Source organism: Homo sapiens, chromosome 6 (assembly GCF_000001405.40).
Source record: "Homo sapiens chromosome 6, GRCh38.p14 Primary Assembly".
Classification (NCBI taxonomy): domain Eukaryota; kingdom Metazoa; phylum Chordata; class Mammalia; order Primates; family Hominidae; genus Homo; species Homo sapiens.
Genome location: NC_000006.12, coordinates 157,902,882 through 157,918,469, shown reverse-complemented (window position 1 = coordinate 157,918,469; position 15,588 = coordinate 157,902,882). Strand labels below are relative to the sequence as shown.

At 39.7% G+C, this 15,588-nt stretch overlaps 1 protein-coding gene across 2 annotated transcripts in view, besides 2 other annotated features; it reads right to left on the bottom strand.

The window, feature by feature from the left end:
• Window positions 1–15,588, bottom strand: part of SNX9 (sorting nexin 9) — a 121,832-nt gene that overhangs the window by 26,608 nt on the left and 79,636 nt on the right. For both annotated transcript variants that reach the window (NM_016224.5, XM_011535886.4), the window contains 3 exons: window positions 12,258–12,342; window positions 8,680–8,805; window positions 8,445–8,562 (listed from right to left, as the gene is read on the bottom strand). In NM_016224.5, coding sequence (NP_057308.1) covers window positions 8,445–8,562; window positions 8,680–8,805; window positions 12,258–12,342 — 329 coding nt within the window. The remainder of the gene's footprint in view (window positions 1–8,444; window positions 8,563–8,679; window positions 8,806–12,257; window positions 12,343–15,588) is intronic.
• Window positions 9,589–9,658: a silencer, noted in NCBI's record as "silent region_17729". NCBI's record gives its function as "represses an Ori minimal core promoter by ATAC-STARR-seq in GM12878 lymphoblastoid cells {active_cell/tissue: GM12878}" and the evidence as "EXISTENCE:reporter gene assay evidence [ECO:0000049][PMID:35858748]".
• Window positions 11,419–11,713: a silencer, noted in NCBI's record as "tiled region #15079; HepG2 Repressive non-DNase unmatched - State 15:Elon". NCBI's record gives its function as "represses a minimal TATA promoter and a strong SV40 promoter by Sharpr-MPRA in HepG2 cells {active_cell/tissue: HepG2}" and the evidence as "EXISTENCE:reporter gene assay evidence [ECO:0000049][PMID:27701403]".

Here is a 15,588-nt window from a genome sequence, read left to right as displayed (position 1 = left end):
AACGGATGGGAAAAGATATACCATACAAACAGTAACCATAACAGAAATGGAGTGGCTATATTAATATTAGACAAGTACACTTTAACACAGGAAATCTTACTAGAGACAATGGGGGACACCTCATGATATAAGAGGTCACTACATCAGGAAGATATTAAAATTACAAACTGTATGTCTACCTAACAAGAGAGACTCAAAATACATAAAACAAAGTGACAGAATTAAAAGGAGAGATAGTCCACTAATCATAATGTTAAATTTCAATACCCGATACTCAATAATTGATAGAACTAGAAAGAAAATTGGCAAGGATATAGAAACCTGAATAACACTATCAACCCAGCCTAACTGACATGAATGAAACACTCCACCCAGCTGCTACAGACACATATTCTTTTGAAGCACACATGGAATATTCCCTATGACAGACCATATGCTAGGCCATAAAATAAGTCTCAATAAATGTAAGAGGACTAAAAATCATGCAAAGTATGTTCTCTGAACATAATAAAACTGGAGGTCAAAAGAAAAAAATTCAGGAAATGGCCAGATAGTTGGAAATTAAACATAGAGTTGGTTCTCTGTATCCACGGTCTCTGCACCCATGGATTCAACCAACCTTAGATTGCAAATATTTGAGGGAAAAAATTTTTTTCTGTAATGAATATGTATGGACTTTTTTCCTTGTTATTATTCTCAAAACAATACAGTATAACAATGATTTACATAGCATTTACATTGTATTAGGTATTATAATTAATCTAGAGATGATTTAAAATATACGGGAGAATGTGCATAGGTTATATGCAAATACTATACCATTTTATATCAGGGACTTGAGCATCAATGGATTTTGGTATCTGTGGGAGGTTCTGGAACCAATTCCCATAGATACTGAGATATAGGTATATTTCTAAATAACCCATGGATCAAATAAGAACTTATGAGAAAAATTAGAAAATGTTTTGACCTGAATGAACATGAAAACTCAATAAGGTAGACTTTATAGAATGCAGCAAAAGCATGCTTAGAGGAAAGTTTTTAGCATTTAATGCCTGTGATAGCGGAAATATCTCAAAACAATAATCTAAGTTTCTATATTTAAGAAACTAGAAAAAGAATAAATCAAACCCAAACCAAGCGATAGAAATGATAAAAGAGCAGAAACAATATAATAGAAAAGAGAAAAATAAAAATACATAAAACCAAAGAAAAAAAGAGAGGTGACAATGATCAAAATCAGAAATGAAGGAGTAGACCTAACATCTTTAAAGGTACAAAGAAATACTATGAGCAACTCTAAAACTATACCTAACAACTTCTATGAAATAAATCGACTCCCTTAAAGACCCAAGCTACCAAAGCTCAGCCTGAATAGTCCTATAGCTATGAAGGAAATTAAATTCATAGTTAAAGCCTCCCCACAAAGAACACTCCAGGTCCAGATGATTTCAGTGGTGAGTTCTATCAAACACTTATAGAACAGTATCAATTCTATATAATCTCTTCCAGAATATAAACAAGGAGGGAATAGTTCCAAACTCATCCTATGAGACTAGCATTGCCCTGATACTAAAACCAAACAAATTACAAGAAAACTATAGACCAATAACCATCGTGAACCAAATCCTCAACCAGATATTATTAGCAAATTTAATCCAGCAATATATAAGAATAATCTATCACCATCGAGTGAGGTTTATTCCAGGCATGTAAGGCTGGTTCAGCAATGGAAAGCTGATCAGTGTGATTTGCTGTATTAATAGCAGAAGAAAAGCCATACAATCACTCGATGAGTACACAAAATACATGGGACAAAATCCAGCATCTATTCATGAACAAAAACTTTCAACAACCTAGAAATAGAAGAGAAATTCCTTAACTTGATAAAAGCACATCTAACAAAAAACCTACAGCTAACATCATAGTTAATGGTGAAAGACTGAATGCTTTGTCCCTAAGATCAGGAATAAGCCAAAGATGATTGCTCTCACTATTTCTACTCAAGAGCATACAGGAAGTCCTAGCAAGTGCAATAAGGCAGAAACAGAAGTAGAAGGCCCATGGATTGGAAAAGATGAAATAAAACTCTCTATTCCAAGCTGACATGATTGTCTACATTAAAAAAGAAAAGAGGGCCGGGCACGGTGGCTCACGCCTGTAATCCCAGCACTTTGGGAGGCCGAGGCGGGTGAATCATGAGGTCAGGAGATCGAGACCATCCTGGCTAACACAGTGAAACCCCATCTCTACTAAAAATATAAAAAATTAGCAGGGCGTGGTGGCGGGTGCCTGTAGTCCCAGCTACTCGGGAGGCTGAGGCACGAAAATGGTGTGAACCCAGGAGGTGGAGCTTGCAGTAAGCCGAGATAGCGCCACTGCACTCCAGCCTGGGCGACAGAGCGAGACTCCGTCTCAAACAAAAAAAAAAAAGAAAAGACAAAAAAACCAAAGAATCCATACCCACAAAAAAGCTCCTGGAACTATTGAGTGAGTTTAGCAAGGCCACAGATAAAAGGTGGATATACAAAAATCAAGCGATCTCTATATGCAATACATAACTAGAAAATGGAAATTTAAAAAACAGTACCATTTACAATACAACTCTCCAATGAAATTCTTACATATAAATCTTTTTTTTTTTTTTGACAGAGTCTAACTCTGTCGCCCAGACTGGAGTGCAGTGGTGCAATCTTGGCTCACGGCAACCTCCGCCTCCTGGATTCAAGTGACTCTCCTGACTCAGCCTCCTGAGTAGCTGGGACTACAGGTGTGTGCCACCACGCCTGGCTAATTTTTGTGTGTGTGTGTGTATATATATATATATATTTTTTTTTTTTTTTTTTAGTAGAGATGGGGTTTTGCCATGTTGGCCAGGTTGGTTTCAAACTCCTGACCTCAGGTGATCCACCCACCTTGGCCTACCAAAGTGCTGAGATTACAGGCATGAGCCACCGCGCCTGGCCTGAAATTCTTACACATAAATCTAACAAAATATATGCAGAATCTGTATGTTGAAGACTACAAAACCCTAATGAAAATCAAATACGATATATTTTTATATATGGATTAAAAGATGAGATATCAAGATGTGAAAATTGATCTACAGAATCAATGCGGTTTCAATAAAAATTCCAGCATGATTATAAATATCTACAAACTGACATTTAAATTTACTAGGAAAGGCAAAAGAAAAAGAATAGCCAAAACAATTTTGTAAAGGAACCAAGTTGGAGGATTCACGCTACTTGATTTAAAGACTTACCATAAAGCTACACAAGTCAAGACAGTGTAGGACTAGCGAAAAGGATGGACACATAAATCAATGGAGCAGAATAGAATCCAGAAATAAACCAACAAATACAATCAACTGATTTTTTTTCTCTTACAAACATGTTTCTAATAAATGGAAAACAGATCTGTCTTTCCAAAAGATGGTGTGAGACCCACTGGATATCCCGATGTGAAAAAAAAATGCACTACTTCTACCACACTGCACACCTTATACAAAAATAACCTCAAAATGCATCAAAGATCTAAACGAAAAGCCTAAAACCTTTAGAAGAAAATGTTGTGAACTGCTCTTAGCCATGACACCTCAAGCACAGTCCATGAAAGAAAAAACTGATATAGTGAACTTCATTAAAATTAAAAGCCTTTGTTATGCAAAAGACACTGTTAAGAAAGTAACAAGGCTAGTGTGGTAGCTCATGCCTCTAATCCCAACACTTTGGGAGGCCGAAGTGGGTGGACCGCTTGAGCTCAGGACTTCGAGACCAGCCTAGGCAACAGGGTGAAATCCTGTCTCTACCAAAAATACAAAAAATTAACAAGAAGTGTTGATGAGAGCCTGTAGTCCCAGCTACTCAGGAGGCTGAGGCTGGAAGACTGCTTGAGCCCGGGAGGTCAAGGTTGTAGTGAGCTGAGATGGTGCCACTGCACTCCAGCCTGGGCGACGACAGTGAGACCCTGTCTCCAAAAAAAAAAAAAAAAAAAAAAAGAAAAAGAAAATGACAAGCCAAGCCACAGCTGCGACAAGTTATTTGCAAATCACTTATCTAACAAAGAACTTGTTTCTAGAAAATACATATATATATTTTAAAAATCTCAGGATTCAACAATAAGAAAACAGACTGATAAAAAATGAGCACAAGAGCTGAACAGAAGCTTCAGCACCAAAGATCTACAGATGGGAAATAAGCACATGAAGAGATGCTCAACCCCACTCGCCATCAGGAAATGCAAATCAAAACCATGCTGAGATACCACTGCATACCTATCGGACTGGTTAAAATGAGGAAAAACTGACACTATCAAGTGCAGGTAGGGATGTGGAACTACTACTGATACTCTCATATATTGCTGGTGAGGATTCCAAAATGGTATAGCTTCTTTGAAAAACAGTTGGGCAATTTCTTAAACATTAAATATATACTTGCCAAATGACCCAGTCATTTTACTCTTATTTACCCAAGAGGAATGAAAACTTACATTCATACAAAAACCTGTATGCAAATGTTTACGGCAGCTTTATTCATAATTGCCAAAAGCTGGAAACCCAAATGTCTTTCAATGAGTGAATGGATAAACAAGCTATGGTATATCTAAACACTGGAATACTATTGGCCACGAAAAGAACAAACTATTGACACAACAAAATGATTGAATTGCAAATGTGTTATGCTAAATGAAAGCAGTCAGACTCGAAAGACTATACACTGCATGCTTCCATTTATAATGACATCCTAGAAAACGCAGAATTATGAACACAAAGAACACATCAGCTGTTGCCATGGTTAGGACCAGGGGGATGGGCAGCACGAGGGAACCTGGGGAGGTGACGGAGCTGTTCTGTATCATGAAATGTAGTGGTGGTTGCAGGACTGCAGTGGTAGCTGTCAAAACTCAGAACTGTACACCAAAAAGAGTGAATTTACTGTACCTAAGTTTAAAAATAAAATTTAAAAAATGAAACCTGAACTTTCCTTTAGAAATTATGAGTATAAGCCAGGCAATGGTGGCGTGCACCTATAATCCCAGCTACGTGGGAGGATCACTTGAGTCCAAGAGGTCAAGGCTGCAGTGAGCTATGATTGTGCCACTGCACTCCAGGCTGGGTGGCAGAGTGAGACCGTCTCCAAAAATAAATAAATAAATAAATAAATAAAATATAGATAGATAGTATTATGCACCTACATATCAAAAAACTTTTATTACCTAAAAAGTGGACTTGAACAGAACAATGAGTCTAGACACCATCATTGTACTAAAGCATTGCAAACTTTGCATTTACTAGCAGTAGATTAAGCAGAAACAAAGCCTTGTGCCTTGGAAAAAAGACAATTCACCTCCTGGCCGGAAAGCCAGTCTGGACCTGGGATACGATGAACTCCCCATTATGGCTAGGTGAGTTGTACCCAGAGTTCATTATCCTATCATTGGTTGAAATTTAGTGATCCTTATTTTATTCAAAAATTATTCTTGTGAAAATTTTTCTGACATAGCTGGTTTATCTCTAAGCTTATGACTTCAGATGTTATTTTATGCTTGGTAGAATTTTCAGACCAAGTTGCAAATAATTAGAAAAAAAGAGGAACTTTTATTTCCCTGTTTTCCATGAACCTTACTAAGGTTTTCACTAAGTATATGAATATGTCAGTTTGGTACCAGGAATAAAACTATATTCATTCAATATTATTTCCATAAAAAACAAAAATCTCTAAACAAATAAAGAAATGTTAACTGTACATTTTTTCATGAATTATCGAGTCCACAGGAATGTCATAGCATCACCTACTAAGCATTCCTTTTTCTTTTCTCCAGTAGTTGAGCGAGAGGGGAATTCTTACATAATAATGATCTGTGGGCATCCCAGGCAGGAGGCACACAAGTGAGGGGGAAATAGAGCCCTTCTGTGCTGTTCGGCTTCCTTGGCTCATATCCCAGTTAGTGAATCAAAGCTCAACTTTCTTCACACCGAGGGGCTGCTGCTTTCTTGCTTTTCTATGACTTTCTCCTCCCTGGCTGCATGCCGAACTTATTTTTTTTTAAACAAATCTTAGTATGGAAGGAGAACCGTGACTCTCTGAAGCTTTAAAAGAGCACTGAATTATCTGATTCAGAATAAACAATGTATTAAAATCTAAAAGATATGAGAATTTCTTACAAGCCTGAAATAGGCCATTAAGCCATGGATTTAAACACTGTGGAGCACACACTGTGCTAACCAAGTTGATAAAGGAGAGCACAAAATTCAAGGAAATAGACTATAATTTTATATGGCAGAACTGAAGTTTTCATGGAAAGAAATCTGTATTTTTTAAGAGAAAACTGTGATTGAAAGCAATAAGGATGACAAAAAGGAGGTACAGGGAGTGTCTGAACCGGGTTGAGGTACAGGGAGTGTCTGAACTGGGTTAGAAGCAGGGGTTCGGTCAGTGCCTCTGGGCAGAAGGCAGCAGCAGCCCACGGCCATCTGGCTGTCACTCCACCGCCCCAGCACCACGAGGGACCACTCAAGTGTCACCCAGGGGACTGGGGAGATGTGTTTATCTACCCAGTAGTGCAGCCCCATTTTCAATTTTGCTATGACAATTTGAAATTTTTGAAATGTGTTCCAAAAAAATCAAAATCAAAACTTCTTTTAAAACAAAAGTTTCCATCTCCACAAAACACTTCAGGGAAAAATAAACATAAAACAAAGTAAAATATAAAGTAATGTTTTAAGGAGAATAATTTACTCATTGTATGAATACTAATTCTAGGGAAAGATTAGTCAGTCCACATCTTAACAGAAACAGAGTAAGCTATGGGATCAGATTCGAATTCCTTTTTCAGCAATAGAGAGGGGAACCTGTTTAATGTCTGTGGATTTCCGTTTCCTCATCTATAAAGTGAAGATGAAAATGCCTATCTGTGAGGACAGATGAGAGGCACTCGGGAAGTGTCCAGGAACACGTGGGACAAACTCCACGGCAGTGCTGACATGTTTCCATCTGGCACTGCCACCTGGCTGTGAAGGGTCGCAGGCCCTCCCTGAACTGTTTCTCTCGACTCTTGCGAGTGCAGTGAGAATTCCACCGCCTCTTGTCTTCCCTGACCTTTGGGGAAAGAACCCTTCCTTCAGCCCTCCATGTTTCTTCTCCCTAGGTTCAGGTGAGCATCTCAGTGTCTCTTTTACATCTCTTACAGGCCTCTCTGGCTCTGACCTTTGAAGACCTCCTCTCACAATCCACTCCTTTCTATTTTCACTAGTTCATGTATGTGAACATTTTCTAGCAATATACTAAAACTCTGTCTAACCTTTAAGTCTGTTTCTTCACAACATTTATTTATTTATTTATTTATTTATTTATTTGAGACAGAGTCTCGCTCTGTCGCCTGGGCTGGAGTGCGGTGGCGCAATCTCGGCTCACCGCAACCTCTGCCTCCCGGGTTCATGCCATTCTCCTGCCTCAGCCTCCCTAGGAGCTGAGACTACAGGTGCACACCACCACACCGGGCTAATTTTTTAGTAGAGACAGGGTTACACCGTGTTAGCCTGGATGGTCTCGATCTCCTGACCTCGTGATCCGCCCGCCTCGGCCTCCCAAAGTGCTGGGATGCCACTGCACCTGGCACACAACCTTTATTTTAACACACACATGCTGAGTCCCTCAGTGACTACATAGAGTAGCAGAGTCTACCCTAGGCTGGAGATTAAAAACAAAAACAATTCCCTGACACAAAAACAAACCCTTTCTACCTGCATACTTACAAGGTGCCCTGCATACTTACAAGGTGCTCTAGTAACACTATGGGTTACTTACCAAAAGATTCTTGGGGCTGGGGGAGGGGAGGGAATGTGGCACTTAAAAAACAAGAGAAGGGAGAGGGTAATAATCAAAATAAATAGAAAATGGCACTTTTAAAAAACAAGAAAAGGGAGAGGGTAATAATCAAAATAAGTAGAAAACCTGGCAGCTTCTTCCTTCATTAACACTTAGTAGTTCTGTGGCTTCTCTGTCCAGTGCTCACTCATCTAATGAAATAATGCAGCTCATCTGCATAACCTGTTTGCATCATGTGGGTCATACATTTTTATTTCCATTTTAGGCTATTTGAATTATTTCTATTTTTTCAGGTGTCATTTTTCACATATTTTAAATGTACACATTTCTTTTGTAGAAAAGGTACAGCAATGAAGACAATGACTGCTGGAATTCCAGACACATACCAAAACCTGTGATTTGCACATTAAACGTTCTTGTGAGACGTTTAGGCAACTTCCAGATAGATGTACAACATGCAATGGTTCTCTCTTCATAGCTGTATTTAATTACTGTTTCCAACTCCTGCATCCTGCTGCTCTACAGGATGGAAAATGCCATCACTGACTTACAGGAAGATAATCTGACTGGAGTCTTTCTATTTGTCATCCTGGGTTTAGCATTACACACACTCACCTGTGACTTGTTTGTCTGGAAGAGAAGGGATTGGAATGGCTGACCCAAACTTAACCAGGAGACGCTCATATAACCAGTCAAAGTGCTTATACCTGTGGTTTACAGATCGATTAGTGTTCTACAAAATAAGGGAAAGAGAAAAGGTTACCAATGCCAACTCTAGAAAATGAAGAAAAAAGCAAGCTGCAATCAGTGATCCAAACATGATTCTGCTTTTGATAACGTGGATACTTACAGTAGGTGTTAGCTGATATTCGATGTAGCTCTTTAGACCATACATTTTGGAGCCTTTCCTGGGATCTGCTACCACACAGTCAAAAGTAGAGGTAGGATAAACCCACATTGGGCCATAATCTCCAACCTATGCCAATGTTCCAGAAAGAAGTAATTTTGTTACATGGAAAAATAATAAATACAATTGATGTGAATCAGCAAGTAATTCTTTTCAGAATGAGAAGTCCTTTGGAGGGTCATTCTTGTTCCTCTTTGAAAGGTACATAAATGGTTCAATGGTTTCTGTTCCTGTTAGATATTATGTTTAAAGAACACACCTGTGGGAAACCCTTCTGCTCCCACGTGAGTAGCTCAGCCCATGGAGAGGAGACACCAGCTTCCCTCTCCCAAGGACAGTGCTGGTTACAAGACAATGTTTCTTTCTAGTCTAGCTGTCTCAAGCTACACGTGATGAAGGACTAGTTTTTAAAAATTTCGAATCTATCACAGACTAATAGTTTGGTGAAATATAACATTACACATTTTGATTTTTCAACAATACCAAATTGTCCTCAAGTTTTCAAAATATTCTCATGTACTGTACCTATCTCACGGTGGATCAGGAACAAGCAGTTTTCAGATGGGCAAGTGGTCTGTGGACCATACTTTGAGTAGCATTGTTCTGGCTCATAGAAACGATTAATCAGATTGGCCAGAGCCTGATAGTCATTGTTTTACTACTAGTGGCAAGGTGGGGGGAGGGGGAGGTACTACATCTTAAAAGCAAGAACCAGGCTAGCTGTTTTCTTCCGTGGACTGCTATGTGCCTAAGCACAGTGGGCTGGCTCACTTCCAACCCCCGGGTATCACGTCCACCTGGGCAAGGCTTGCCTGAAGAGGGTAGGCCTCCATTCTTTTCTCACTGGCCTTCTCTTCTATCTGTGACTAGGGCAAAAGTTCACAAATTCAGGCGAGGCTTACACTAGCTCACTGGGGTTTTAGTTGTGGTGGGAGGTGAGGAAGGGAAACCAGCTAAATTCTATGTGGGGGTGTAGAGACCTCGTGTAAGTTTTGAGCCTGAGGATCATTTCTTCTAGGCACTGCTAGGTGACAATAGGTCTGCTGTCCCAAACCTGGTTTTTTCATCTTATTTAAAACAGCATCCAAGGCCATGGGGGCAGCTGCAGAGGAACCTGGATGCTGGAGCTCATGTACAGGCTTCTGGAATCACTACCTGAGTCACCAATAGTCTCAAGTTGGTTCTGCCTCATTCATTTCATAAACTTTGATCACAATGACAGATTCTAGAGGTTCAGACTGCAGGACAGTAGCTCTTATCAAAACACATTTCAGAGCAATAGAAGTCCTTATTATACTGAGAATGTTATCTATCTTCTTGGCTTGAAAATGAAAAATAATTGAGTTATAATCCAAGAAGAGAATGAAAAAACAAACACATGGACTGTAAAAGGACCACTATTCAGGAAGCAGATTCACTCAGAGATTCATTCAGAGATTCAAGGAGAATGAAATAATTTATGGAACAGGTTTTATTCTTGCAGACTTGAAAAAGTACCATAAGAAAGTAAAAAGAAAATGAGAAAAATCACACAGATTGCGCTGAAGGAAGAGAGATTTGTTTCGGCTGAGACCTCAGAGAGGCAAGGCCAGACAGACATAAAAAGGAAAAAAAGGTATACCCAGTCCTAATTTTTTTTTTTAAGAGGAAGATGGGAAAAGCGGATTGGGATATTAAAGTTCAGAGGCTGTTAGGTCAGGAAGGTGACCTACTCCAAGGATAAGAGTAGTTTAAAAAGAGACTAAAATCTCTGAGAACAATTACTATAACCCCCTCAGGGAGAGCCCAGATCCAAGAAACTAGCTGAAAGCTGCAGAGGAGATGACTTTCGGGACCTCCCTCAGTGAGTGGGCCGAGAGCAGCAACTGTGCTTGGCTAAGGCCCAATTTCACGGGGCTCTGTTTCATGAGTGGGCAAGGTTACTGCACTTTTAGAGCAAAGAGTTAGTCTCTGCTTTCTCTGGGCCTCCTGAAGACGCGGTGGCTTTCCTCAGCTTCTTCCATGTATAGACGCCCACACAGGCAGACCTGCCTACTGGGTGCATGGGTGCAGTTCTACTTAAAACTTGCCGGTCAATGAAAGGCTGGAACCCTTAGCTCTGTACCACCACTGCAAACCTGGGACAAAGTCCCCTTTAAGAATGTGAGGCAGGCCGGGCGCAGTGGCTCATACCTGTAATCCCAGCACTTTGGGAGGCCAATGTGGGCGGATCACAAGGTCAGGAGTTCAAGACCAGCCTGGCCAATATGGTGAAACCCCGTCTCTACTATAAAATACAAAAAAAATTAGCTAGGCGTGGTGGTGCATGCCTGTAATCCCAGCTACTCGGGAGGCTGAGGCAGGAGAATTGCTTGAACCCGGGAGGCAGAGGTTGCAGTGAGCCAAGATCACACCACTGCACTCCAGCCTGGGTGACAGAGTGAGACTCTGTCTTAAAAACAAACAAACAAACAAAAAAACAAAACTGAGGCAGAGCTGTGCGCTCTTGATTTTGAGGAGTTTTAAATGTCATGAAAAGAATAATGGTACATGTTCAATTTTTATTAAGTCCAGAGAAAACAGGAAAAAAAAATCTTTAATATAACTACTCAGAAGTTAATTATCCCAAATTTGCTTTGAGGGAAAAAGCATAAAAAGGGCTCTTGGTTACAGCTCTTCAGCTTGGAGGCTTCCAGGATTTGGAGTTTTTCAAACATGCAGGCACAAGTAATTAGAGAATCTAATACTATTCCTGCAATTTTATCAAGTTTCCAAAGACTACAGAATAAGACCAGATGTTTCCTCATCCTCGATTGAGTCCAGGATGAGAACACTCAAGGCTTCAGGTTCCCAATCTAATTGTTACAGGGTTAAGTCAATAGGATCAGAAGATAGCTACAGTTCTCTTTTCCAGAATTTCATTTGGGAATCTACAACTAAATATCACCTAGACAGAAAATCTACCACCAATCAAAATGTGGAATGAAACCGAAGGGCTTGTGTCACATTATGCAATAACCAAGTAATTCTAAGACAGATATTCTCAATGATGTCTTTAACTCCCAGCTTCCATTTGGTAGCTCCTTATCTCAATTTGACAGCTGGTTTACTGGAAAAAACACTATTACCAAAAACACTATTACCCATATATCTGAAAGGGTACCTTATTCTGATAACATACATGTACTTTACAAGGGAAGAAACATAAATATTTGAATTGAGTTCATCAGTTAAACATATAGGGCTGGCAGAAAAACTATGTAAAATACACTTCAAGACACTTTAGAAAAAAATGATCAAAATAGTATATTTGTTCAATACTAAAAGTCTGAAAGATAAAGAATAAACAATATAATGACAGGCATTAATTTGTGTTAATTATCTTCAGTACTCCTACAACACTAACATATATTATCAGTTATGTGGGGCATTAAATATATTTAAAAATACTTTCCAAAAGATGAATAACTCGCTTAGCTTTAAAGTACGGTATAAGAAAGAGCTTAATCAGAAAGAAAGCAAACAAAAATAAACAAACTTACAATGATGGGAATTTTCTCTTTGGGTTTTGCTAGTTGTTTGGCCAACAAATACTGTTCCGTGCCAGGTTTCGCAAATCCAGGAAATCTAATCATGAATATAAATGTTCATCAGTCTTAAGACTTTCCTTGTAAGAATTTTACAACTCTCGTCTACATTTACTTACCAGTTTTAACCTTGTCCTGTCTTTCGGGTGCACTAGAACTGGAAACTGTGGTAAATGAAACCTAATGTAATCAGATTGTTCAATGGCCAATTAGGCATTTAATTAAGCTTGATCTGGTAAACAGAACAGTTTGACTCCAGAAGGTGTGATGTTTACGGGCACTCTATTTGCTTGACTGTGTCTGAAACATTCGGTCACCCCAGAGTGAAGGGCAGACCTGAAAAAACGCCCCCCTAGTTCCCTGGGGCAGTGAGTAGTGAGCACGCCAATCTGAGTTGGCCACAGGGGGCAATAGCCACATGCTGGCATTTCTACATCCAAATTAAAGTTGCCTTTCAACAGGCTCTCTCCAGAGGCCACAACTGTCCCAAAGGGGCTGTCCTGCTCATCAGCATATGTGCTTGTTTCTTTTGGAATTGCCTTCAGAAGCAGTTCATGACAGCGGAAAACAAGTCTCTTTAGTAGAGACCCAAAGTGTAATCAATAAATTTGGCTATGGGGAGGGGGTGGGGGGGAGGTCACTTAAGACTCAAAAACTTAAATAAACTTGACTACTTCCAGAAATCACATCTATATCCAAAGGACATTTCTGAAATTAGAGGACAGCTAGAACATAGCCATCCAAAGGGCTACTGAAAAAGACAAGATTAATTTGGGTTTTAGAATTTTTCTTTTAGTAAACAGAAGAAAAGGAAGCAAAATATCTACAATGGGAAAAGGAATCTTATTTCTACGAAGTTCCAGTCGCATTGCTTCTACTTTCATTCATGTGCCAAGCCAAAGGCCAGTGTGATGCTCTCAGGGGCCCGTGTCTTCTTTTCCTGCATTCTCAGCTGACTTCCCTTGAGTCTCCTTTCTCTAGACATTCCTTTAAAACGCAGCTTACACAAGAGACCAGATGTGTCCTGCAGCTGGATGGCATGGGGTTTGAATTCTGACTCCAACACTTAGGTAGCCTTAGGGGCTGAAATCTCCTTGTGGAAGAATGAGACCAGAATGACCTACCTTCTAAGGTGATAAGGGAATTAAAGATTTATGTAAAGAACCTAGTATGTACTCAGTACATTTCAGTCATTGGCAACTAAGTCATCCTCTCTTTGGAAGTACTCCCTGCAGCCGCAGGTAGAGTCTTCCTAGGCATTTTGAGCATATTTTGTGATTCTATTCATCACACCTGACTGCCGCTATCCATTTACCTATTACAGCAGCCAGAGGGACTTAGAGGAAGCATTTGTGTTTTCAGGACCTGGAGGAGTTTTGGGAGCATACTGAATGCTTAATGAATTAGGCTAACCTGCAACACTTTTATTTATTAATTACTCTATTTTATTTATTTTTTTGAGACAGAGTCTCACTCTGTCGCCAGGCTGGAGTACAGTGGCGCGATCTCGGCTCACTGTAACCTCCACCTCCTGGTTCAAGCGATTATCCTGCCTCAGTCTCCCAAGTAGCTGGGACTACAGGTGCGCTTCTGTGGGGATTATATATCATGACAACTCCTTGACCAGCTTGTAAGCATTTCAATTTTTGGGCACTGTTATGGACCACAGAAAAATTTGAGGACAGCAATGTATTAATTATTTCAGCATCATCAAGATGCCTTTTATTTTTTTTTTGGAGACAGAGTCTCTGTGTCGCCCAAGCTGGAGTGCAGTGGTGCCATCTCGGCTCACTGCAACCTCCGTCTCCCGGGTTCAAGCGATTCTCCTGCCTGAGCCTTCCAAGTAGCTAGGATTACAGGCGTGCCACCACGCCCAGCTACTTTTTTATATTTTTGGTACAGATTGAGGTTTCACCATGTTGGCCAGGCTGGTCTCGAATTCCTGACCTCGTGATCTGCCTGCCTCGGCCTCCCAAAGTGCTAGGATTACAGACATGAGGCACTGCACCTGGCCCAAGGTGAATTCTTATAGTGCTCAAGTATATTTAATTTCAGATCTCTTTTTCTAGTATAAGATTTATGTTCCATGACTAGAATACAGCTGTCATATAAAATGGATTAATTGCTGAAAAAGTGTTAATACTTAAAAACATTTTTTATAATTGTTTTAAGTTTAAGTGACTCATTTATACAGTTTAGTTAAATACAAATACACAGGGTGTTAAATCGTTCACAGCACTACAGAGAGACAGAGATGCCTCAGAGGCACAGGTTCAAGTTAGGACTGCTTTAATGTGGTTTCAGCCTGGAATGATATTTTAGAGCAGAAAGAATTCTTAAAGCCAACCTCCTTGCTTTCGAGATGAAGAAACTGAGGTTCCAACAGGTCACGAAACTTGCCTTAAGGTTATAAGCAAATCAGAGAGCAAGTGTGGAGCAGAGGAGAGCACCAAAAACCAGAGTCAGAGACCCCCAGGCATGAGCTGGAACCTCACTCATCAGCCATGAAAACGTGGCCACTCATTTTTCTCAGTCTCTGCTTCCTTCGTTTTCAAAATGGGGCTAATTTATATGAATTTTCAATATACTTTATATTCACATTTAAAGAACAGCTGACAATGATGCACATCACTACTGACCATGACTGAAAACTTCAAATTTGACTCTGAAACAAGACACAGTTGACTAACAAGACAGAGAATTATTCACTTTATTATGCATGCAATTGAGCAGGAAAATATATAATGGAAGAAACTGGGTAAGAGGCAGCAAAAGTGTGCAGTCAAAAGAGAACTCATTTAATCACTGAAGCTATTTAAATATACTTTGGAGAACTTGTAGGACTTATTAAACTAGATCTAGACCTAGATCTTGATGTCTAAATATATGTCAAATGTTATGTTTTTAATTTTTCCAGACACAGATTAACATTCTTTGATATCTGCCTTGAATCATGGAATTGGAATATTGGGAAAAAGTATTAGTAATTTCAAAAAATAAACTAAACATAACTGCTGGAAGGAGTACTTGAAAATTCTGATGGAAGTCATAAATTACTAATATATCTCCTTCAAGCTACACTGGCATAGACTACAGCCTTATTTAGGTCTCTCCAAAGAATCCTACAGTGGTCACTGGTGCCCACATGCTTTCCTGTTAAGTAGGGTATCTACAAGTACTGTTAAAAACTTTTTTTTTTTGGCTAGGTGTGGTGGCTCAAGCCTGTAATCCCAGCACTTTGGGAGGTAGAGGCGGGCGGATCACTTGAGACCAGGAGCTTGAGACC